This window comes from Homo sapiens, chromosome 4, assembly GCF_000001405.40.
Source record: "Homo sapiens chromosome 4, GRCh38.p14 Primary Assembly".
NCBI classification, from domain to species: Eukaryota; Metazoa; Chordata; class Mammalia; order Primates; family Hominidae; genus Homo; species Homo sapiens.
The window spans coordinates 158,886,917-158,912,355 of NC_000004.12; the positions used below are offsets into that span (position 1 = coordinate 158,886,917).

General features: G+C 39.8%; 2 protein-coding genes and 1 pseudogene across 12 annotated transcripts in view, besides 3 other annotated features; 1 reads left to right on the top strand and 2 right to left on the bottom strand.

Annotated features, from left to right (window-relative positions):
* The window catches only part of FNIP2 (folliculin interacting protein 2), a 139,025-nt gene extending 117,891 nt beyond the window's left edge, over window positions 1-21,134 (top strand). For all 7 annotated transcript variants that reach the window (XM_005263158.3, NM_020840.3, NM_001346043.2 and 4 more), the window contains 3 exons: window positions 4,530-4,730; window positions 8,834-8,949; window positions 17,550-21,134. In XM_005263158.3, the coding sequence (XP_005263215.1) occupies window positions 4,530-4,730; window positions 8,834-8,949; window positions 17,550-17,628 (396 nt within the window). In that variant the 3' untranslated portion in view covers window positions 17,629-21,134. The remainder of the gene's footprint in view (window positions 1-4,529; window positions 4,731-8,833; window positions 8,950-17,549) is intronic.
* The window catches only part of SPMIP2 (sperm microtubule inner protein 2), a 189,752-nt gene continuing 170,530 nt past the window's right edge, over window positions 6,218-25,439 (bottom strand). For all 5 annotated transcript variants that reach the window (XM_011531671.3, XM_011531672.4, XM_047449676.1 and 2 more), the window contains one exon: window positions 6,218-6,801. In XM_011531671.3, the coding sequence (XP_011529973.1) occupies window positions 6,787-6,801 (15 nt within the window). In that variant the 3' untranslated portion in view covers window positions 6,218-6,786. The remainder of the gene's footprint in view (window positions 6,802-25,439) is intronic.
* Window positions 9,581-9,875: a silencer, noted in NCBI's record as "tiled region #14183; K562 Repressive non-DNase unmatched - State 23:Low". NCBI's record gives its function as "represses a minimal TATA promoter and a strong SV40 promoter by Sharpr-MPRA in K562 cells {active_cell/tissue: K562}" and the evidence as "EXISTENCE:reporter gene assay evidence [ECO:0000049][PMID:27701403]".
* Window positions 14,987-15,852: an enhancer, noted in NCBI's record as "OCT4-NANOG-H3K27ac-H3K4me1 hESC enhancer chr4:159823055-159823920 (GRCh37/hg19 assembly coordinates)". NCBI's record gives its function as "activates a minimal SCP1, AML or CMV promoter by ChIP-STARR-seq in naive H9 embryonic stem cells {active_cell/tissue: H9 hESC(naive)}" and the evidence as "EXISTENCE:reporter gene assay evidence [ECO:0000049][PMID:30033119]".
* Window positions 15,853-16,718: an enhancer, noted in NCBI's record as "OCT4-NANOG-H3K27ac-H3K4me1 hESC enhancer chr4:159823921-159824786 (GRCh37/hg19 assembly coordinates)". NCBI's record gives its function as "activates a minimal SCP1, AML or CMV promoter by ChIP-STARR-seq in naive and primed H9 embryonic stem cells {active_cell/tissue: H9 hESC(naive and primed)}" and the evidence as "EXISTENCE:reporter gene assay evidence [ECO:0000049][PMID:30033119]".
* LOC124900178 (uncharacterized) lies at window positions 22,457-22,526 on the bottom strand (annotated as a pseudogene).

The window sequence follows — 25,439 nt, forward strand, 5'->3', positions numbered from 1 at the left end:
TAACAAAACCCTTTGGGAAAAAAGATGTTAGCATTAAGAAGAGAAATTTTACCAAGTAATCTTACTAAACTGACAGGTATCCATAGCATATCTCCCTTTTCCTTAAGGTGTATGGGAGGCCAAAGTGAGGCTCACCATGGTTCAGTTGTCAGCGTTGGGGTACAGGCATGCCCCACCTTCCTATTCCTTTTCTTTAGTTCCCATGCCCAAACTCCAAGTCCTAAGAAGAGCAGATAGTGGATTAGGCTTTTCATAGGTGTTTAAATCAGTCAATCTTAGGTTCGTATTTTTTAGAATACTTAATTTCTTAAAAGTATTGCTACATGTATGTTACTGCAAATAAGTGTATGTATGAAACCTGCTATGCATGTGAACTTGATAAAATTGTGAACTTAAAAAACTTACTTGACAGATTTCACTATTTACTAACTTCTACTATTAAGGTATGGCTAGTAAGAAATAGTATTATAAAGAAGCATACATATAATTCAGTGTTTGTTTATTGTGGTTCTATAGATGCCTAAAAAATAGTCTTCCCAGCCAGGCACGGTGGCTCACGCCTGTAATCCCAGCACTTTGGGAGGCCGAGGTGGGTGGATCACTTGAGGTCAAGAATTCGAGACCAGCCTGGCCAACATGGTGAAACCCCGTCTCTACTAAAAATACAAAAAATTAGCTGGGTGTGGTGGTGGGTGCCTGTAATCCCAGCTACCCGGAGGGTGAGGCAGGAGAATTGCTTGAGCTCAGGAGGCGGAGGTTGTAGAGAGCCGAGAATGCACTACTGCACTCCAGCCTGGGTGACAAAGTGAGACTCTGTCTCAAAAAAAAAAAAAAAAAAAAACCCAAGAGGAATGTTAAATTGAATTCCAGGGCATAGTGTGCAGGTATGTATTTCTGTGACAAATCCAAACATAGTTTTCTAGATCTTAGAGTTCTTTAAATTCTGAAAACTTAGAGATTGACTGATAAGCCAGATCATAATATGTTTACACTGCCCAGTCTCTAATGGGGTTGAGTTTCCTTTGGAAAGATGATCAGAAATCTCCAGTCACCAGAACTTTAGCTTCAACTCTCTGACCCTGTGCAAGTTCAGGCCTGATCAGGGATGGCCAGCAGTGGCCCCGGTGGCCCTTGAATTGTAACTAAAAGTAGTTGATGATATTTTTATCTCTTTCCAGCATTCATTTCTTTTCTTGAATATTTAGACTTCCCTCTAGTTTGTTCTTCCTTTAAAAGGTGTTTATTCTTTAGTAAATAAGTAAGTAGCTACTAAGTGATATAGTTAGATGGAGGCAATTGGATTGATTCAGGGAATTGTGTGTTATGTATTTAGTAGCCTGAGAATATGTAATTCTTGGAGTTTTTTCTCTTTTGAAAAGGTTCTGCTGGTTCTTTTCTGTTCCTGGGGCCTGCATGCATAAAAGTCAGCAATCCATGCTGTAAGGAACACAAGATGCTCATCGACTCTTGTCATTTGCTTGTGCTTAATCTGTCTCATTTTCATTCAGCAAGTAACATTTTTCAAATGCCAGCTCCTGTGCTAGAGGCTAAGGATGCAGAGAGAAGATTCAGCCCCACTTTCAAGGAATGGACTCCCGCAAATTCTTGTCAGTTTGTCTCAATCTGTGTACTCATTGTTCTTTCGTCTTTACTCAGGTCTCTACCTCAGATTCTGCCTCTTTGCTCCAGTGATTTAAAAATGACTTGTGAGCCTATAATCCCAACATTTTCAGAGGTCAAGGCAGGCAGATCACTTGAGGCCAGGAGTTAGAGACAAGCCTGGCCAACACAGCAAAACCCTGTCTCTAACAAAAGTACAAAAATTAGGTGGGTGTGATGGTGCACACCTGTATTCCAGCTACCCAGGAGACATGAGAATCGCTTGAACGCAGGAGCCATGTGTTGCAGTGAGCCGAGATTGCACCACATCACTCCTGGGCAACAGAACAAGACTGTCTCAAAAAAAAAAAAAAAAAGTAAGAAACTTTGGAGGCCAAATGTAGTGGCTCACACCTATAATCCCAGTTCTTTGGGAGGCAGAGGTGGGAGGAGCACTTGGGGCCAGGAGTTTGAGACCAGCCTGGGCAACATAGCAAGACCCCATCTCTACAAAAACGTTTTTTTTAATTAGCCAGGTGTGGTGGCACATGTCTGTAGTCCAGCTACTTGGGAGGCTGAGGCAGGAGGATCACTTGAGCTCAGGAGCTTGAGGTTACTATGAACTGTGATCAGACTTCTGCACTCCAGCCTGGGCAAAAGCAAGACCCTGTCTCTAAAAAATAAATAAATACAAAGACTTGTGCTGATTTTTCATGTTAGTATTTTTTAGTTTTACATTTCTCTTGCATGCTTACTTTTAAAATAATTGAGCCAACCTCTCTGTCCCTTTTTGTTATTGCATGTAAATCTACAGCCTTCTGATATAACCTAAGCTTGCAGAATCTTCCATCCATCACCTTCCTAGTATGCCTCTTGGCCCTTATTCCAGCAGTTAGTTGCTTAAAACAAAGCACTTTGTGTTGGTAGTGGTACTATATAACTTATAGTCTATGCACTGTTGGGGATTGACACACTCTTCCCTTCCCTACCACTGCAGTGGGAAGATCATTTAGAAGACTAAGTTCGATTTGAACCTAGGGTCCAAATTACCTATTGCAAATCAATCCTCCTCCTCCCCTTGCCCTTTGCAAAAGCTAGAATTCACTGTGAAAGGTGACAGGCATACGTTCAACTCATTGTCTCTATGTTGACATATGGTCAGTATGAGAGAAAGGTCTCTAATATAGATCTGTCCCGTGGCATGACCAGCATGTTGTGGATTTCTGACAAATGCAAAGCAGTGAAGGAGTTTGAGCTCAAAATACAAATATTTGAAGTGTTCAAATTTCCTTTTTTTTTTTTTTCCATAAGGACCAGACTCATTGATGGCAAGTCGTCATCATCTTGATATAAATTTATAACACAGGATGAACAAGACCTTGGAGGAGCTTGTAAAGAGAAGTCACTGAAGCCTTGTATCTTTAGTTGTCCGTTTTGGAGACTGTATATATGCATGTGTAAGAAGCGTAGGGGTGAAAGGGTCATGAAAACCTTTGGTTGAAAATGGTGATGGGGTCATTATGTGTGTAAGAAAATCTTTGTACTTTTCAGTTAACAATTCTACAAAATGAGAACTGTCTTGGGAAACTGGGCTTTATGAATTCAAAAATATACTTTATCAAATTCTTTATCTCTCATGTTTAAAATTATTTGAACAGACAAATAAATGTTGAACATCAGACTTTGCCTGATTGCTGTTCCTTTCAATGGGAAAAATATAAATCCTGATAATAGGGTTTATATCTTTTTAAACCCTTATATTTTTATAAACCCTGATAATAGGGAAAAATATAAACCCTATTACCAGGGTTTTTCCTACTATTTTTCCTACTATTCCCCCTTGGATAATAGTAGGAAAAAATGTTGGTCCGCACGAAGTTTTCATTCATCTCACCACTCTCTTTCCCATTTGTGAGAAGGAATACAAAGCTGCACAGGACAGAGTCCAAGACTAGGGAGTCAGATCACCTGTTAAAATTACAGTATTGCATCATGCATCTTTGATTTGTATTTGCAGCCTTCCCACTACTTGGATTAAGTCGTAAAAATTACAGGTAACCATGGTCCAGTGGCAAAGCTGTATATCTCTTTGGGTTCTTTGTTGCAATTAGCAACTCTTGTTAACTTAAACAGGAGGGACTTTAGTGAAGGAATATTAGGAATGTATAGAATTGATGAGAAGTCAAAAGAATTAGGGTTCAAATAGGCAACAAGGCAATTCTGGAGTTCCAGGAACCATGGACTACTTGAAGGTGTTTGTACTAAGTCCCACCAGGCCTTGTACTAATTGCTGTCTGGGCAGGAATATGCTGGTGCCAACCATTTTTGGTCTTCTGTGCTGGTACTAACAAGGAATTCCCAGGGAAGGAGCATCCAGCTGGCATAGCTTGGGCCATACAAACACACTGTGATAGAGGAAGGATGGACCCGATTGCAGTCTCACCGGGCCTTGTCTAAGAAAGATCATTCTTCAAAGGAAAATTCGGATGGATTTATTGGAGGAAGTTATTTAAGCAGCCAAAAGAATCAAGCAGTCACCCCAGGATAGTAGAAAGGAGTAAGGACGGAAGCAGCCAGTACTAATTTTCCTTGGTAAATGAGGGTTAGAAGAATGTGCATATGTGCATTGGCTTTGAGGCAGGTCTCTCTGTCTCTGGCTCTCTCTATCCTCCCCCTCCCCCACCCATCCCTCCCAAGCAGTTACACTTTGATTTGTTTTGAGAAATTAGGTCTTTAAAAAAGTCCTTGTGACTGCTTCAGTGTTTACCCTATTTACCCTATGGCATAATTTACCAGTTGTTAAATCTGCTCTATCCATAACTGCCTGGCTGTCAAGAATTTTACATTTAAATGTATTTATCAGTAGTGAAACTTTGACCTTTTGGACTCACCTGGATAAATAAACCCATCCCTTTGTGTTTCTTTTTCAGCATCCAGTCCTGGATGAGCCAATAGCTGAAGCTGTCTGTATTATCGCAGACACGGATAAATGGAGTGTGCAGGTAGCTACAAGTCAGAGGAAAGTGACGGACAACATGAAACTAGGCCAGGATGTCCTGGTCTCTAGTCAGGTGTCCAGTTTGCTTCAGTCCATTTTACAGCTCTATAAGCTTCACCTCCCTGCTGATTTTGTAAGTACTGGTTCTTATATCACCAAAGAAATCTAGTTTTAAAATGCTTTTAACGACATTTTGATTATAAAATCACAAATTCAAAAGTACTGTTTTAATATAATTGGAGATTAGCATAACTAAAACTAGAACATGCAGCATAAAACTCGCAACAGGATAGATTTCAGTAGTAATAGCTCTTCCGTGAAACAAATAACAAGGAGCGGCACTGGAATTTTTTGGAATGAGGTATATGGTGCAGTAAATAAGGAATGGGTGGAGAGATCAAGCATAAAAGGAAACTGTAAATCATCCACTGGAGAACTCATGAGTTCTCCTTTTATTAGATTGATATTTTAATAAGTAGGCCAGTTTCTGAAGGGATTGTAGTTCCTTTTATTAAGCAAACATTTTCACAAAGGTGTTAAGGATAAAATAGAATATCATTTGTGTAAACATTTCCAACATTTCCAGCTTTAAAGTACTATACACATGTAAGATTATATCAATTGTTGCTTTTTTTTTTTTTTTTTTTTTGACAGAGTCTCACTCTGGAGTGAGTAGTGCAGTGGCATGATCTCTGCTCACTGCAACCTCCGCCTCCTGGGCTCAAGTGATCCTCCCACCTCAGCCTCTTGAGTAGTTGGACTAGAGGCATGTGCCACCATGCCAGCTAATTTTTGTATTTTTTGTAGAGATGGGTTTTGCCATGTTGCTCAGTCTGGTCTCGAGTTCCTGGGCTCAAGCAATCCGCTTCTTTCCAAATGGGATTTTAAAATCACTTTCGTAACAATACTTTAAATACAAACAACAGACAGAGCCTATACACTCTTAGAAAAGTATCAGTAGCTCCCCCCAGCCACTGGAATTAACATGCATGACAAAATCTTCTCAGTATCTGCGTATGTGCAGAGAAATTGAAAGAAAGAGAAAATACATTTAGAGAGGGAGGGGGAAAGGTTTCAAAAGAAGAAAAGCTTTTCCAGTGGTGATGAACACTTAAAAAGAGAGAGAGAAGCTTAAGGGCATATGGCATATAGCTGGGTAGAGCTTGGATGGGCTGACCTCAGAGACAGGTGTGTGAGGAAAGAGTCTGCTTTCTCTGCTGTTCCCTCCTGTCTGCACAGCGCTGTTCTCTGCAGCACAGCCCCAAACCAAAACATCTGTTATCTGCTTCCTGGCCTCCAAAAATGATGCAAACCTGTTTACCCAACAAAGCAGGAAGTTTTTAAATATTAATTACCTACGCTAATTGCTAATGTAATGGTCATTGTCCTGGGTTTTTATGACCAAATCTATACTTGTACCCATTCCTCAAAAAGAGTCTAGACTTTTATGACTTTGAAGAAGGTGCTCTGAAATACCGTCTGGTTGTTATCAAAGTCGGGACAGTGTGGCAAGGCAGGAAGACCACTGAGCGTAGCTGGGTTATGGTCTAGGCTTTGCCGTTGGTTAGTTGTGTAACAATGGACAATCCCGAGTCTCTCCGAACCTCAGCTTTCTTAGTTGTAAAAGAAAGATAGTACCTGTTCAACAAGGGTGCTGTGAGAATCTTCTGAAAATTAGGGATATAACTGCTTTTTACTGCTAAAGCACCATGCCAATATTATAAAATACTTTAAAAGCCATATATGTTAGCTTTAGAGCCCCATAACCTGGGGTCAAATCCAAGTTCTGCTACTTCCTAACCATGTACTCTTTCAAAGCCTTAATTTCCTTATCTGCAAAGCTGGGGAAATAATAGAACCTATCTCCTATGGTTATGAAATTATATTAGAGAATGAATGTAAAGCACTTGGAATAGTGTTAGATGTTATAAGCACTCAGTAAACAGCTACTATTAGTATGATAGTCAATAACAATTAGTTTCATGAAACAATATTAATGGTTGCAAAGACTGACAACACCTTTTTTCCAAACTGTTTATTTGGGCTTTAAGCTGAAGCGTACTCTTGCAAGACATCTGTCCTGGGGCAATATGAGAAGCACTTGTGGATTATTATGATCTTATTTTTTGTTATACAGTAGTAGGCAGTTTCTCCTTCTAAAAGCAGGTTGAGTTATGCTGATTTAGAGGTTAATGTTTCCTTTTCTGTAAGAGAAGTAATGTATATTAGACTTCATAGTTTACTTCATAAGTATTTGCCAAACTTTTATATTTCATTCTATAATACATACGTCTTGTCACAGTTGATATCTTGGTTATCAAAGCAATAAATTGTTATAGTTAATTCTTTTTACTTCCTTTGGACAGAAGTGTGTTCAAGCACTTACTAGTGTGAATGACTTATTTAACCTGACAAAACCAAGATCAAAGAAAATTTTATCTGCAGTTTAAAATTCTCCTTAAAAAAAATCACTTGAATGAAACCTGTGATTAAATGGCTTTTAGAACCTTCAATACAAAAAGAGAAGGTAGCTATTTGAAATTTTAGAAGTTAAAAATTGGAGAAATCCATCTCAGGAATAAAATCCCAGAAAGAGGAGTTTAAAAAGCCCCCAGCATGGTTCAATGGAATAATCAAGTCTTTTAAAAAATGTTTTCTTTTTTTTTTTTTTTTTTGAGACAGAGTTTCATTTTGTCACCCAGGTTATAGTGCAGTAGTATGATGTTGGCTCACTGCAGCCTTGACCTCCTAGGCTCAAGCAATCCTCCCACCTCAGCCTCCTGATTAGCTAGGACTACAGGTGTGTGGGCCACTATGCCCAGGTAATTTTTTAATTTTTGTAGAGACAGAGGCTCACTATGTTGCCTAGGTTGGTCTTGAACTCCTGGGCTCAAGTGATCCTCCTACCTCAGCCTCCCAAAGTGCTAGGATTACATGCGTGAGCCACTATGACTGGCTAAAAGTTGTCTAAATGCTTTGATTTCACGTCTAGTATATATTTCATATAGACCACAGTTCTTATTTCCACACTGCATCATACAGTTTTCATATAGGCTGTGAACACTGTAATTACTTTTTCCAAACAGAAAGGGTTCAATGTAATATGAATATTATTTTTAATATTTTGTGACTCTTACTAAAAATTTTCTATTTCACTCCATAAGGAACTGAAAGCTAATAAAGATCCTTTTACCACCTTGTTTACTTGGAGGAGCATTTCCATGAGAATTGGTGAAATCCTCCTTACTTTATTACTCTTAGTCACTTAGCAGTTGTGTTTCATCCACCTGACACAATGTATTTAAGATTTTAAACCAATGAAAAACTGAAAAGATTGCATCTCTGATAGATATTTTTTCCATGTCGTTGATCAGCCCAGATGGTCAAGATCAACATTTTCAAATGCATCTGTTAATCTTTTTACCTTGAAAATAACAGGCCTAATGGTCTAGAAGAAAATTAGGTATGATGGAATTACCCTTGCCAAAGCCATCAGGTGTCTTACTGAAGATGCTCGGGTATCTGCCTGCCAAATGCAAAAGCATTTGCCTCTGGTGAAAGACACAGATGGTTGCTATTCTCTAAAAAAATGAAGCTGAACACTATTCCAAGGGTAAAGATGTCCTGAAAATAATTGCCTTTTCTTTATTGTTATTAAAGACCTAGTTAAAATACATTCTTGAAAGCAAAAGAAAAAAAAGTTGTGGGGGAGGTTCAAAATGACCTGTTCCCGTCAGTCTCCTCTGGAAATGTACTGGGCCAGAATAATCTGAGCTATTGGGGGAAAAAAACAAAAACCATACTGTTTACTAAATTATTTATAACAAAAATGCAATTTGCTATGTGGTTACGTGTAAATTCACATTCTCAATATTGTTTAGCTATAAAAATTATATCAAGAAGTTCTTAATATGGGAAAGGATTATTATAAAGTTTTTTAAAGGCAAGAAACACTTTTGGAATGATTTCAACTATGAAAAAAATACTTGTTTAAAAAGACTAGAATAATACATATGTAAATCTTAATAGTTAGCAAAAGTAAACTTTGTTTTACAAGAACCTATTCTTATACCTGGTAGTGGTAGGGTTTGAGATGGCTTGTGATTTTTTAAGTGTATTTGAAACTGATGAGATAAAAGCTGTGTAGTTAGAAATGAATTAAGAAAATTCTGACTCTTAAAATATTGGCAGAGATTTGACTTCTAGCCCTCATTGTGAATGTTCTTGGCTTTGCAGTGCATCATGCATCTTGAAGATAGACTACAGGAGATGTACCTTAAAAGTAAAATGCTATCTGAATATCTCCGGGGACACACACGAGTCCATGTGAAAGAATTAGGTGTCGTACTGGGGTGAGTTCTGTGAAGTGCCGTCACTTGTCCCTTTGATAGGTATCCCTAGCATTGTACCCACTAACGTGTTTAGCCTGTGTCACCCTAAACCTCAGGCCCTGGTAACCCATCAAAGTATGTGGAGTCCATCAGATACGTGCCTCTGCAACTCCCCAATGAACAGCATGTTCCGTTATCTGATACTGGGTTTCACACCTACAATCAATCGCAGGACTTTAGGCTGGTCGTGCTTTGTTGCTCTTCTCTGTGGATTATCTTATGCTTGAAAAGAAAATTTAATCCCACACTGCCCGTTTCTAGTAACTGAATAAGATGCTGAAGTCACAAGCTGTGGGACATGCAGCAGCAGCTTGTGTTTACATTTCACTTCCTGGAGGAGGAGTAGGTTGGCACATTCCACCTGGTGGCAGGAAAGGCCCTTCTAGGCTTGAGGAGCCTGCCTGCGTGTCTGTGGGGGGACAGTGCTTTCCTTCCTTTATTATAAGCCCACCAAAGAGGAGACTTGTATGTTACTAAAAATGCCTATCATCCTCCAGAGGGTATTTGCTATAACTTCTCTAGGGGAAGTAATTCTTACTTCTGTTTTACTGTCAGCTTGATTTTTCAAAAGAGAACAAAAAGACATTGTACATTTGGGGAACTGCCCCCGCTTATCCATGATGATGATTCCCCTCACTTGGGAGAAGAAAATATTTATAATGTCGACGTTTAAATTATCTAAGCCTCCTAAGAGACTGGGGCCTTTGTGTTTTGCTTAGATTTCTCATCTTTCACACCCAGAATGTGACGCCTGTGTTGTTCGGCTCTTGGCATTTCCTGTCATAGATTATTCTTACATACTTTATTTACAAAGTATTTCCCCCTTATGAGGTGTTTGCTTTTGCAGTTAACTTGCAACATGTCTCTTTGTCGTTTTTTTTTTTTGCTTTTGTTTATATCTCTCTACCAGCCTCATACTTCAATCCTGCCTTATTAGTTTTTTTTTTATTATTATTATACTTTTAAGTTCTGGGATACATGTGCAAAACGTGCAGGTCTGTTACATAGGTATACACGTGCCATGGTGGTTTGCTGCACCCATCAACCCGTCATCTACATTAGGTACTTCTCCTAATGCTATCCCACCCCCAGCCCCCCACCCGCCAAATAGGCCCCGGTGTGTGATGTTCCCCTTCCTGTGTGTGTTGTCATTGTTCAACTCCCACGTATGAGGGAGCACATGCGGTGTTTGGTTTTCTGTTCCTGTGTTAGTTTGATGAGAATGATGGTTTCCAGCCTCATCCGTGTCCCTGCAGAGGACATGAACTCATCCTTTTTATGGTTGCATAGTATTCCATGGTGTATATGTGCCACATTTTCTTTATCCAGTCTATCATTGATGGGCATTTCGGTTGGTTCCAAGTCTTTGCTATTGTGAATACTGCTTCAGTAAACATACATGTGCGTGTGTCTTTATAGTAGAATGATTTATAATCCTTTGGGTATATACCCAGTAATGGGATGGCTGGGTCAGATGGTATTTCTAGTTCTAGATCCTTGAGGAATCGCCACACTGTTTTCCACAGTGATTGAACTAATTTAGACTCCCATCAACAGTGTAAAAGTGTTCCTATTTCTCCACATCCTCTCAAGCATTTGTTTTTTCCTGACTTTTTAGTGATTGCCGTTCTAACTGGTGTGAGATGGTATCTCATTGTGGTTTTGATTTGCATTTCTCTGATGACCAGTGATGATGAGCTTTTTTTCATATGTTTGTTGGCTGCATAAATGTCTTCTTTTGAGAAGTGTCTGTTCATATCCTTCACCCACTTTTTGATGGGGTTGTTTTTTTCTTGTAAATTTGTTTAAGTTCTTTGTAGATTCTGGATATTAGCCCTTTATCAGATGGGAAGATGGCAAAAATTTTCTCCCATTCTGTAAGTTGCCTGCTCACTCTGATGATAGTTTATTTTGCTGTGAAGAAACTCTTTAGTTTAATTAGATCCCATTTGTCAATTTTGGCTTTTGTTACCATTGCTTTTGGTGTTTTAGTCATGAAGTCTTTGCCCATGCCTATGCCTGAATGGTATTGCCTAGGTTTTCTTCTAGGGTTTTTATGGTTTTAGGTCTTACATTTAAGTCTTTAATCCATCTTGAGTTAATTTTTGTAAAAGGTGTAATGAAGGGTTCCAGTTTCAGTTTTCTGCATATGGCTAGCCAGTTTTCCCAACACCATTTATTAAATAGGGAATCCTTTCCCCACTGCTTGTTTTTGTCAGGTTTGTCAAAGATCAGATGGTTGTAGATGTGTGGTGGTATTTCTGAGGCCTCAGTTCTGTTCCATTGGTCTGTATATCTGTTTTGGTACCAATACCGTGCTGTTTTGGTTACCGTAGCCTTGTTGTATAGTTTGAAGGCAGGTAGCATGATGCCTCCAGCTTTGTTCTTTTTGCTTAGGATTGCCTTGGCTATGCAGGCTCTTTTTTGGTTCCATATGAAATTTAAAATAGTTTTTTCCAGTTCTGTGAAGAACATCCATGGGAGCTTGATGGGGATAGCATTGCATCTATAAATTACTTTGGGGAGTATGGCCATTTTCACAATATTGATTCTTCCTATCCATGAGCATGGAATGTTCTTCCATTTATTTGTGTCCTCTCTTATTTCCTTGAGCAGTGGTTTGCAGTTCTCCTTGAAGAGGTCCTTCACATCTCTTGTAAGTTATATTACTAGGTATTTTATTCTCTTTGTAGCAATTGTGAATAGGAGTTCACTTGTGATTTGGCTCTCTGTCTGTTATTGGTGTATAGGAACGCATGTGATTTTTGCACATTGATTTTGTATCCTGAGACTTTGCTGAAGTTGCTTATCAGCTTAAGGAGATTTTGGGCTGAAATGTTGGGGTTTTCCAAATATACAATCATGTCATCTGCAAACAGAGACAATTTGACTTCCTCTCTTCCTATTTGAATACGCTTTATTTCTTTCTCTTGCATGATTGTCCTGGCCAGAACTTCCAATACTATGTTGAATAGTTGAATAGGAGTGGTGAGAGAGAGCATCCTTGTCTTGTGCTGGTTTCCAAAGGGAATTCTTCCAGTTTTTGCCCATTCAGTATGATATTGGCTGTGGGTTTGTCAGAAATAGCTCTTATTATTTTGGGATACGTTCCCTCAATACCTAGTTTATTGAGAGTTTATAGCTTGAAGTGGTGTTGAGTTTTGTCGAAGGCCTTTTCTGCATCTATTGAGATGAGATAATCATCTGGTTTTTGTCACTGGTTTTGTTTATGCGATGGATTACCTTTATTGATTTGTGTATGTTGAACCAGTCTTGCATCCCAGGGATGAAGCCAGCTGGATCGTGGTGGATAAGCTTTTTGATGTGCTGCTGGATTCAGTTTGCCAGTGTTTTATTGAGGATTTTTGCATTGATGTTCATCAGGGATATTGGCCTGACATTTTCTTTTTTTGTTGGGTCTCTGCCAGGTTTTGCTTTCAGGATGATGCTGGCCTGGCCTCATAAAATGAGTTAGGCAGAAGTCCCTCTTTTTCTATTGTTTGGAATAGTTTCAGAAGGAATGGTACCAGCTCCTGTACACTCTGGTAGAATTTGGCTGTGAATCCATCTGGTCCTGGACATTTTTTGGTTGGTAGGCTATTAATTACTGCCTCAATTTCAGAACTTGTTATCAGTCTATTCAGGGATTTGACTTCTTCCTAGTTTAGACTTGGGAGGGTGTATGTGCCCAGGAATTTATCCATTTCTTCTAGATTTTCTAGTTTATTTGAGTAGAGGTGTTTATAGTATTCTCTGATGTTAGTTTGTATTTCTGTGGGATCAGTGGTGATCTCCCCTTTATCATTTTTTGTTGCATCTATTTGAATATTCTCTTCTTTCTTCTTTATTAGTCTGGCTAGTGGTCTATTTTGTTGATCTTTTCAAAAAACCAGCTCCTGGATTCATTGATTTTTTGAAGGGTTTTTTGTGTCTCTATCTCGTTCAGTTCTGCTCTGATCTTAGTTATTTCTTGTCTTCTGCTAGCTTTTGAATTTGTTTGCTCTTGCTTCTCTAGTTCTTTTAATTGTGATGTTAGGGTGTCGATTTTAGATCTTTCCTGCTTTCTCTTGTGGGCATTTAGTGCTATAAATTTCCCTCTAAACACTGCTTTAAATGTGTCCTAAAGATTCGGGTACACTGTGTCATTGTTCTCATTGGTTTCAAAGAACTTTTATTTCTGCCTTCATTTCGTTATGTACCCAGTAGTCATTCAGGAGCAGGTTGTACAGTTTCCATGTAGTTGTGTGGTTTTGAGTGAGTTTCTTAATCCTGAGTTCTAATTTGATTGCACTGTGGTCTGAGAGACTGTTATGATTTCCATTCTTTTGCATTTGCCGAGGAGTGTTTTACTTCCAATTTTGTGGTCAATTTTAGAATAAGTGTGATGAGGTGCTGAGAAGAATGTACATTCTGTTGATTTGGGGTGGAGAGTTCTGTAGATGTCTATTAGGTCTGCTTGGTCCAGAGCTGAGTTCAAGTCCTGAATACCCTGTTAATTTTCTGTCTCGTTGATCTAATATTGACAGTGGGGTGTTAAAGTCTCCCATTATTATTGTGTGGGAGCCTAAGTCTCTTTGTAGCTCTTTAAGAACTTGCTTTATGAATCTGGGTCCTTCTGTATTGGTTGCATGTAGATTTAGGATAGTTAGCTCTTCTGGTTGCATTGATCCCTTTACCATTATGTAATGCCCTTCTTTGTCTCTTTGATCTTTGTTGGTTTAAAGTCTGTTTTATCAGGACTAGGACTACAACCCCTACTTTTTTTCACTTTCCATTTGCTTGTAGATCTTCCTCCATCTCTTTATTTTGAGTCTGTGTATGTGTTTGCACGTGAGATGTGTCTCCTGAATACAGCACAATCATGGGTCTTGACTCTTTATCCAGTTTGCCAGTCTGTGTCTTTTAATTGGGGCATTTAGCCCGTATTTGATTTAAGGTTAATATTGTTATATGTGAATGTGATCCTGTCATTATGATGCTAGTTGGTTTTTTTGCCCGTTAGTTGATGCAGTTTCTTCATAGTGTTGATGGTCTTTACAATTTGGTATGTTTTTGCAGTGGCTGGTACCGCTTTTTCCTTTCCATGTAGTGCTTCCTTCAGGAGCTCTTGTAAGGCAGGCCTGGTGGTGACAGAATCTCTCAGCATTTGCTTGTCTGTAAAGGATTTTATTTCTCCTTTGCTTGTGAAGCTTAGTTTGGCTGGATATGAAATTCTGGGTTGAAATTTTTTTTTTTTTTTTTTTTTTGAGACAGAGTCTTGCTCTGTTGCCCAGGCTGGAGTGCAGTGGCGTGATCTTAGCTCACTGCAACCTCCGCCCCTCCAGGTTTAAGCAATTCTCTGCCTCAGCGTCCAGAGTAGCTGGGATTACAGGCGTGTGCCACGAAAATTCTTTTAAGAATGTTGAATATTGGCCCCCACTCTCTTCTGGCTTGTAGGGTTTCTGCAGAGATCTGCTGTTAGTCTGATGGGCTTCCCTTTGTGGGTAACCTGACCTCTCTCTGGCTGCCCTTAACATTTTTTTCCTTCATTTCAACCTCCGTGAATCTGACCATTATGTGTCTTGGGGTTGCTCTTCTCGAGGAGTATCTTTGTGGTGTTCTCTGTATTTCCTGAATTTGAATGTTGGCCTGCCTTGCTAGGTTGGGGACATTCTCCTGGATAATAACCTGAAGTGTGTTTTCCAACTTGGTTCCATTCTCCCTGTCACTTTCAGGTATACCAATCAAACGTAGATTTGGTCTTTTCACATAGTCTCATATTTCTTGGAGGCTTTGTTCGTTTGTTTTCATTTTTTCTGTAATCTTGTCTTCACGCTTTATTTCATTAAGTTGATCTTCAATCTCTGATAGCCTTTCTTCTGCTTGATTGATCCAGCTATTGATACTTGTGTATGCTTCATGAAGTTCTCGTGCTGTGTTTTTCAGCTCCATCAGGTCATTTATGTTCTTCTCTAAGCTAGTTATTCTAGTTAGCAATTCACCTAACCTTTTTTCAAGGTTCTTAGCTTCCTTGCATTGGGTTAGAACATGCTTCTTTAGCTCAGAGGAGTTTGTTATTACCCACCTTCTGAAGCCTACTTCTGTCAATTCATCAAACTCAATTCTCCATCCAGTTTTGTTCCCTTGCTGGTGAGGAGCTGTGATCCTTTGGAGGAGAGAGCATTCTGGTTTTTTGAATTTTCAGCCTTTTTGCCCAGGTTTCTCCCCATCTTCATGGATTTATCTACCTTTGGTCTTTTACGTTGGTGACCTTCGGATGGGGTCTCTGAGTGGACGTCCTTTTTGTTGATGTTGATGTGGCTGTTTTCTGCTTGTTAATTTTCCTTCTAACAGGCCTGTCTGCTGCAGGTCTGCTGTGGTTTGTTGGAGGTCCACTACAGACCCTGTTTGCCTGGGTATCACCAGCGGAGGCTGTAGAACAGCAAAGATTGCTGCCTGTTCCTTCCTCTGGAAGCTTCGTCCCAGAGGGGCACCCACCAGATTCCAGCCAGAGCTCTCCTGTATGAGGTTCTGTCGGCCCCTACTGGGAGGTGTCTCCCAGTCAGGATACACAGGGGTCAGGGATCCACTTGAGGAGGCAGTCTGACCCTTAGCAGAGCTCAAACGCTGTGTGGGGGATCCACTGCTGTCTTCAGAGTTATCAGGCAGGGATGTTTAAGTCTGCTGAAGCTGTGCCTACAGCCGCCCCTTCCCCCAGGTGCTCTGTCCCAAAGAGATGGGGGTTTTATCTATAAACCCCTAACTGGGGCTGCTGCCTTTTTTTCAGAGATGCCCTGCCCAGAGAGGAGGAATCTAGAGAGGCAGTCTGGCCCCAGTGGCCTTGCTGAGAGCTGCAGTGGGCTCCGCCCAGTTTGAACTTCCAGGCAGCTTTGTTTACACTGTGAGGCTAAACCGCTTACTCAAGTCTCAGCAATGGTGGATGCCCCTCCCCCAACCAACCTCAAACGTCCCAGGTCGACCTCAGACTGCTGTGCTGGCAGTGAGAATTTCAAGCCAGTGGATCTTAGCTTGCTGGCTCTGTGGGCATGGGACCCACTGAGCCAGACCACTCGGCTCCCTGGCTTCAGCCCCCTTTCCAGGGGAGTGAACCGTTCTGTCTCGCTAGCATTCCGGGTGCCACTGAGGTATGGAAAAAAAACTCTTGCAGCTAGCTCAGTGTCTGCCCAAATGGCCGCCCAGTTTTGTGCTTGAAACCCAGGGCCCTGATTGTGTACACACCAAAGGGAATCTCCTGGTCTGTGGGTCATGAAGACCATGGGAAAAGTGCAGTATCCAGACTGCAGTGCAGATATTGAGTTCCTCACGGCTTCCCTTGGGTAGGGGAAACAATTCCCTGAACCCTTGCACTTCCCGAGTAAGGCAACACCCCACCCTCCTTCTACTTGCCCTCTGTGGGCTGCACCCAGTGTCCAGCCACTCCCAATGAGATGAGCCGGGTACATCAGTTGGAAATACAGAAATCACCCACCTTCTGCGTCGATCTTGCTGGGAGCTGCAGACCAGAGCTGTTCCTATTCGGCCGTCTTGCCTTATTAGATTTTCCATTGCCAAATGTGTGCCTTACATTTCAAGGGCTTTACCCCATCCTTGACCCTTACAGGTGTGCATCAACACGTGTAATCATAAGCTTTTATTCCCCTTTGCACTCATCTCTAGGTCCTCTTAGTGCATTATTAGTGGACTCATGTTCATCCTTCCTTTATCCCCTTCCTCCCGTAGTCAGGGCCAGTAGCACTAAAAGTACTAGAGAACTTCTGTGCACTCTGAAATCAGATCTGTATGTAGCATTACTGGAGAAGGACTAGAAAACCCCATGAGGTAATGCCAGATACTGTTTTATTTTTACTTTGAGGAATTCAAGGGTAAGGATTAGGACATAGTCCACAAACTGAAACAGTTCAATTTTTTTTTTTCATGACACCTGGCATCATTTTTAGCCAGTGCCCATACTGTATCCACCTCTGCTGTAAGAGAGGCAGCCAAAGCTGTGTCCATTTGAAACCATGATGTCTCTTAACCCAGTACCTTTTAGTGTCACTTTGCTCTCAGAATCTTGTGGCTTAAATGCTCAGTGAGGATCCCAGTATAAACTTTGAACAAATTCCCAATGTTTTTTAAGAAATTGCTACCATCATCGTTTTTCTAAGACCAATTTGAACTTAGGTGAAAAATCAGTATGCATTTAGAAGTGTTGACTGGAAGAATGAGTTTATAATGGAGAATACCTTAAAGTATGATACAATGAAGTTATATAGGGAATACAGGAAAGTTAGAAAGTCTGGTGACCCCTGCCAAGGGAAAAAGAGCTTTATGTCCACACACAGGCACAACACACTTCCTGTATTTCTCTCCCTTTGCCTCCCTGGTCAGTGTCCACTGGAATATTTTATTAAAAGAGTAAGTTTATTATCCTTCCATCTGTTTTGCTTTTTCATTAGTTTTAAATGATAATCTATCAAACTTAGTACCTAGAAATAATACTTTCTCATAAAAAGAAATAATACTTTCTCATAAAACCATGCTCTTTTAAAGTAATATTCTTTTCTTTTCTCAATATTCAGGATTGAATCCAACGACCTGCCTCTGTTGACTGCTATTGCCAGTACTCATTCTCCTTATGTGGCTCAAATACTCTTATAAGCTAAAGCTCAGGACAGTTCTTCCTTGGAAGAAAAAAATCAAATTCTCAACTGAAGGAGAAAGGAATAAGCTCTCTGTGATGTCAAAAGCATGAGAAGAGCAAACAGAAACAGTCATTCCACCTTTTTGTTTTGTGTTTTTGCTGTCAAGCTGATGCTTCATTGAAGACTTAGGTTTACTTGACATAATAGCATTTGTGATTGTCGTGAACACTTTAGGCCATTTGTTACCCATGAATCAACAAAGAAACTGACCTTTTTGGTAGGAGGAAACATAAGCACTAAACACTAAGCTGTTGCAACAGATTGCCTTGTGCTGTTTGGGCAGAATAAAGACAAGTGACTTGAGCGGGGTGGTCAGCAGTGTACATAATATTCCAGTAGGAAACTGCTTCCAAGTTTAAGCATGAGCTCCCCAAACTGGAGAAAACATATTTTGCTATTCTGAGACAACAATCAGAATACAGACTTTGGATTCCAGGTCACAGTTTGCTTTTTAGACAAGGTAAAGCAAAGAAAGCCACATTGTGCCATCTTCAGCTCCAGTGGCTTTAGCAGTGACTGTTTGACATAAAACATGTAAGAATTGCTTGTTGGGAAGAGTGCTTTAGGGACCCACTGTTTTCATTTCTTCTTGGAGTTTACCTTGTTTCAGATGCAGCCATGGGTAGGTCAGAGATGGATTGTTGGTGCAATAAACCCAAGAATCAATGTAGCCTCTTAATCCCATCAAGATGTAGTTTGTAGCAGCAAAGTGTACAGTCTGAAACCGTATGTTTTATCCTTATATTTTAGAGCTTTCAGCAGCCTTTTTAAGAGAGGCCACTTACCAAAGTTATTTCTATAAGCTCAAGAGTGTTTCGGTTGGTAAGTTCTTCCAGCTGAAGCCACTTTTTCCTTATAGTTAATACAAATGACTATTTTTACTTTAAAAGGCACAGCTGTCCTGGTGGGAAATGAAACCTGCAGCAGTTCAGGATGACTAATGAAAGCAATTAGCTTGAACATTTAGAAAAAATTCATATATGATCTAAATTTTTATATTATCATTTCTGTGCCTTCTAATTCCTGCATCCTTTTCAAAACATCTTTCCAGACATTAACTTACACATTGTATAAAACCGACCAAAATGATTTCCTAAAGTTCATGCAAAAAAAAAAAAAAAACAACCTAATTTTCTGTTAATATAAAAGAAACTTCAGTTTACTGACCGTGAAACAGACTATGTACTGACATCCAGGGTAAAGTAAAAGACTTTTAAATATTGGTCATTAAAGGACAGGAGCTAAGCTAGCAAAGCAAAACATCTTTAGCACTTTGCAGATCTCAAGCAGTTAACCAGGCTCTGATTCCCTTCCACTGTTTTATGAATTAATTCCAGTTCTTTTCATGTATCTTTGAACCTAAGATTATGAAGTAATTTCCCTATTAGGGACTAGAATGACTTCAGTTTTTTCATTTGATAAAAATCAGAACTGCTACCTTTCCCTTTTTTAATGATGCAAAATGTAGATGAGTGCATTAAGTTTTGTAAGATCTTTATCATTTTATGTCATTCATTGAAAATTGAAATGTTCATTCTTTTTAATGTTTTCCTATTTCCTTTTGCCTAGCATTTGACTTTGGTGTTTTAAGTTCTGTAGTTCCATGACATCATTGTTTGCTGTTGTGTTACAGAGAGAGAAGGAACCTCACCTGTGGCTCAGCTCACCCCACATCCGTTTCTCATTACGTGTAAATAAACTGTCAGAGCTGATGTTACAGCTTTTACAGTTTAAAGCATTCCCCTCGTCTCTAGTTCCTTTTTTCTTGTTTACATGTTTTGGGCACTTTCCCTCATTCACCACCTTCCAGGGTTTCATAGAAAATAACTTGTTACAAAATCAGTTCAATTCTAATGTGGACATAGTGGCATGTTCATAATTAGACCCATATAGGGGACACTGAGCTTTAAATCGTTGATTCTAAACTCTATACATTAAAAAAATTCAGCCCAGGCCCCTCAAAGCCTGAGAAAATTTAATTTGCTCTTAATTTAATGTTCCAAAACTCACTCTTGGAAAAATGCCTGTTGGAAAACTACAGGTGGGTCACATGTGGGGGCTGTCTCCGTGACACTCAGGATTCCAGTCAGAACCTAATCCTCATATCTATTGCCTACAAAAATAGACCAAGAATGTTGCTGCTCTTTTATAATCCTTTAAATATTTAACATTCAAGTTTTCTTTGTCTTAAATTCAGCCTCTTCCTAAAAGCAAAAAAGAAAAAAAAAACCTCACAGAATTGTGTTGAGATCCACCGCTCACACGCCGTACACCACCCAGTGGCTTCATTCTGGCTTAGCCGCAGAGGCAAGAAAGGGACCCCACTTGCTCCCATGCCCACCTCAAGAAAAAACATAAAACAATTTTTTTTAAAAAAGAAAAGAAATCTACCTCAGTTGACAGGATTCCACCTTTAGGGTTTCTTCAACTTTTAAGTCTTACCTGTTGAGTGTAACTTTTGTAGCATCTTGCTTTTCCAAGCAAGCTAGTGAGGCATGACAGAGCAGAAGTCTGTAAATGTCCCTGTGATGGACCTCTTTCTAGCATGTTGCAGTTTTATTTTTAATAAATTGGTAAGTGAAATGAATGTAAAGGTAATTGTGTACGTTTTAGACATGACAATGAAAATTTAAAATGTAGCTTCCATACTTGTGCATAATTCCAAAGTATTTTATTTTTTATCAATCAGTGTTAAATAGCTTTTTGTACAGGCTTCAATCCATTTTTCGAAGTGTGCTGTTTTTTAATGAAAGTAACTATAATCTTTTCACATCCCATGGAACTGCCGTTTACACATTGCAACTTTTTAAACTTAACCATATTTTTCAAAATTAACGTTTTTGGAGGGAGAAAAATCCCCGCTTGCTAAATGATACTAAACCGTTGTTTGGGCTCTTATAATTAGGTCCTGAGATTTTATAAAAATTTAGTCTGTAGCTTTTTAGGTTCTTCACTAGAGTTGGTTGTACATAAAAATAATAAAGAATATAAAGTATCCCAAAATTCTTTTAAAGTCTGGATTTTTCCGCTAATATGTACTTTAGAGAATATTTTGTTCATGCATACTTCCACGTTAAATTGAAAATGTCTTCAGCTTCTCTTGGTAAATGTGAACCATTTGTTTTTTATTGTGCTTGGGGGAGAGGGTATTTTAATATAATTTTTGCCTAAATCAAGAAGTCCCCTCTGAATGTTAATTTTTAAATGTCAAAATATGATGAACGATATATCTTGAAAGTGAGATTGCAATATGCTTAAACTTAAGTGGTATTTCAAAAACGAGAAAATTCTGGAATTTGTCATTTGAAGCTCCATAAGAGAAATTGATAGGACTTCGTTTTTGATCAGTCTGAATAGATACCAATGTCATTGTGTGGGAATTTTTTTTAACTTGTTTATGTATTATTTTGATCCATTTTTCTGTGGCATTTGGTGCAATAAAACTTTTGAATTTATCTTGAACATTTTCCTGGTGCTGCATGCGATTTGTTATATTTAATAAAATGTAGAGGTCTCATTTCTAATAATTCGTGCTGAAAACAAGCTGATTATTTATCTCAGTGGTTTTTAACCGGGGTGTTTTGGAAATGCAGGGACATTTTTGGTTAGCATAATGCCAGGTTAGGGTTACTGGCACAGAGAGGCTGGGGGCTCAGATGATAGGCGAGAGGTCCTGCACCATGTGAGACAGCCCCATGGGATGAGGACTTGTCCCACCCACCTCCTGCGTAACCCTTAAATGTCCTGCTGGACATTTATATGGCTAAAAAAGCCTGTTTATAATTAAGCAGATAATTCTGCTATACATAAAAAACACAATGTATTTTTACATGATTTTTGTATATAATGCATTCTCCAGGAATGCAATTGTTGTATAAATTGAGGGAAGATTTTTACTTTGTAAGATTTAGAATTTTAGCAAGAAGTGGTCACTTGGTCTTTACCAAGAATTGATATACTTTTGGAAAACTGCGTTTCCAATGGTAACATAGTTTGGTAGCTATGGTACCCATGGAATTTGAGTCACCAATACAGGACATCTCTGTCAGTCTTCATTTGTAGCCCCTGCATTCATGAAGACTCTGTATATAGATGCCTACTTCATTATATTTTTTGAGATGGGGTTTTGCTCTTATTGCCCAAGCTGGAGTGCAATGGTGCAATCTCGGCTCACTGCAACCTCCGCCTCCTGGGTTCAAGTGATTCTCCTGCCTCAGCCTCCCAAGTAGCTGGGGTTACAGGCATGCGCCACCACAACTGGCCAATTTTTTGTATTTTTAGTAGAAACGAGGTTTCACCATGTTAGCCAGGCTAGTCTTGAACTCCTGACCTCAGGAGATCTGCCCACCTCAGCCTCCCAAAGTGCTGGGATTACAGGCGTGAGCCACTGTGCCTGGCCAACTTCATTATATTTTCTAATCTACTGCCCCAATATTTATGTATTAAAGTAGTATTATAAATTACTTTTAAATTTCTTTTAAATTACAGTATAATAGGGCATTATATTGGTATGATATAAATTGAGTATATTTGTAAATTTTATTTTAGGTTAATAAAGGGGGCATTACAAAATATTTGCTCTGAAAAGGGATGATGTCCACAGATATATTTGTTCTCAGGAAAAAATATGCCACTGAGAGCAACTGTTGGTACCAACATAATGCCATACTGAGTTATGTTATCTTAAAGACTGGGGGGAAAGTTACAGTAGATATTTCAAAATCCTTTCTGATAAATGAAAATTTCAAGTGTTTTTCCCTGAAGCTTTTTTTTTTTCCTTTTCGTGCATGTTCAGCTCTCCAAGGATGGCTTCCCTGCTGTGTACTCGGGTGAAACAGCTTTAAAATCATGCCATTGATAAAAGGAGTTAAACGCACGTGCACACAAGAGTGCTTTTTGGTTCCCTAGTGCCTGGACCGTTCTGTCAGACGCTTTCTGTATGTTACCTCATTTAATCCTCACAATGGATGAGGGGTACTGTGATGGTTTTTTTTTTTTTTTTTAAGAGACAGGGTCTCACTTTGTCACCAGGATGGAGTACAGTGGCATGATCATAGCTCGCAGTAACCTCAAACTTCTGGCCTCAAGTATCCTCCTGCCTCAGCCTCTCAAGTACCAGGGACTACAGGCATGCACCAACACACCCAGCTAATTTTTTTAAAAAAAATTTGGGGCTGGACGCAATGGCTCACGCCTGTAATCCCAACACTTTGGGAGGCTGAGGCGGGCAGATCACGAGGTCAGGAGATCGAGACCATCCTGGCTAACACGGTGAAACCCTGCCTCTACTAAAAATACAAAACATTAGCCGGCCGTGGTGGCACGCGCCTGTAGTCCCAGCTACTCAGGAGGCTGAGGCAGGAAAATTGTTTGAACCTGGGAGGCAGAGGTTGCAGTGAGCTGAGATTGTGCCACTGCACTCCAGCCTGAGCAACAGTGAGACTCCATCTCAAAAAAAAACAAAAAAAAATTTGTAGAGACAGGGTCTCACTCTGTTGCCCAGGCTGGTCTTGAACTCTGGGCCTTACATGACCCTCCTGCCTCAGCTTCCCAAACCGTTGGGATTACAGGCATGAGCCACCAGGTCTGGCCTGTGATGGTTAATGTTATGTGTCATCTTGGCTAGGCGATAGTAATCAGATATTTAGTCAAACACTAATCTGGATGATGCTGTGCAGGTATTTTTTTTTTCCTTTTTTTTTGAGATGGAGTTTTGCTCTTGTTGCCCAGGCTGGAGTGCAATGGCACGTTCTTGGCTCACTGCAACCTCTGCCTCCCGGGTTCAGGCGATTCTCCTGCCTCAGCCTTCCTGAGTAGTTGGGATTACAGGCATGCACCACCACGCCAGCTAATTCTGTATTTTTAGTAGAGACGGGGTTTCCCCATGTTGGTCAGGCTGGTCTTGAACTCCCGACCTCAGATGATCTGCCCGCCTCAGCCTCCCAAAGTGCGGGGATTACAGGCATGAGCCACCACTCCCAGCCCAGTGCTGTGCAGGTATTTCTTAGGTGAGATTAATATTTAAGTCAGTGGACCCTGAATAAAGCTATTTATCCTCCATAATGTGGGTGGGCCTCATTCAACCTGTTGAAAGTCTTAAGAGAAAGACTGAAGATCCCCCAGGGAGAGAGAATTCTGCCTGAAAACTGCCTTCAGGCTGGAGCTGCAACATCAGTTTCTCCCAGGGTCTCCATCCTGTTGGCTCACCCTGCTGCGTTTGGATTTACCAACTTCCACAATCACAGGAGCCAACTCCTAAAAATAAACACCCCTCCCTGGCTCTTGCTCTCCTACATGCACAACACACACATCATTGGTTCTGTTTCTCTGGAGAACCCTGACTGATACAGATACTTAGGAGATCAGTCCAATGATATGGTATGATAACCCAAAATGGAGTTGAGTAGGATCAGAAAATTGTCATTCCAAGTTACAGGAAGTAGGCTTTCAAGCAAATATCTTTAACATCATAAACAGTACCAACTTAAGAGTTATCCCATAAAGGCTGACATAGATGTCACGTAGTCTCTGAATATGTGTTGCAAAGAATTGGAAAACAACCCTCTGAGAAGGAAGGAGGTAACATTTCGTTAAAAGTGGTGGAAAGGCCCAGCGCGGTGGCTCATTCCAGTGCCTGTAATCCCAGCTACTCAGGAGGCTGAGGCAGGAGAATCACTTGAACCCAGGAGGCGGAGGCTGCAGTGAGCCAAGATTGTGCCACTACGCTACAGCCTGGGCAACAGAGCGAGACTCCGTCTCAAATAAATAAATAAATAAATAAATAAATAAATAAATAAAATAAATAAAAGCCCAGCCCTGTGCACTCCAGTGACCCAGCTGATTCATCTTCTCCAGCCTCATCACCAGATAATTCTGTGTTCTATATTCCAGCCACATTGAACCACATGTACTTCCCCAAAGGTGCTAGGTTATTGTCTTTGCCCTGTCTGTTCTTCCTAGAATAGACTTCCCTTTGCCTCATCAAGTCCCCCGTTCCTAGCACAAAATTCAATTCATTGTCAAATCCTCCAGCACCTTGCTACTCAAGGTCCTCAGACCAGCAACAACTAACTGCATTTCCTGGGAGCTTGACAGAAATGCAAAATCTCAAACCCCATTTCAGACCTACTGAATCATAATCTGCATCTTAACAGGATCCCCAAGTGATTTGCATGACCTTTAAAATTTGAGAATACTGCTCTCAAACTCGAGTGGATGAGGAAAAGAATGTATCAGTCACTGAGACTGAAGTCTGTGTATTGGAATGAAGGGGGACAATGAGAACATTTGCCAGCAAAGAAATGAAATAGAAATAAATTATGTTAAAAGTGTCTATCATATGCACATAAATTATACAATGCATATGATATATGCATTGTATGAAGGAAAAAAACTACCAGAAATCCAGAAGGGGAAAATAATGAATGTATTATTGTATGAAGGAAATGTATAATAATAAATAATGAATGTATTATTGTATGAAGGAAAAAAACAACCAGAAATCCAGAAGGGGAAAATAATGAATGGAATAGAAGATAGAACTTAAGAGACATTTTGTGATTTAAAAAGAGAGATTAGGGCATTATAGAAGAAGTGGTTTAGAGACTTGCTCAATGGATTTCCAAAAGTATTTTTAAGAGCATTTTTGGGTAAATGTATATAAGAATGATACATACTGTTAAATCTCATAAATTGTACTTTTTAGAAACATTGTAATTAAGCTCTCTAACCTTAAGTTTATACATGGAAAACCAAACTCAAAGCATG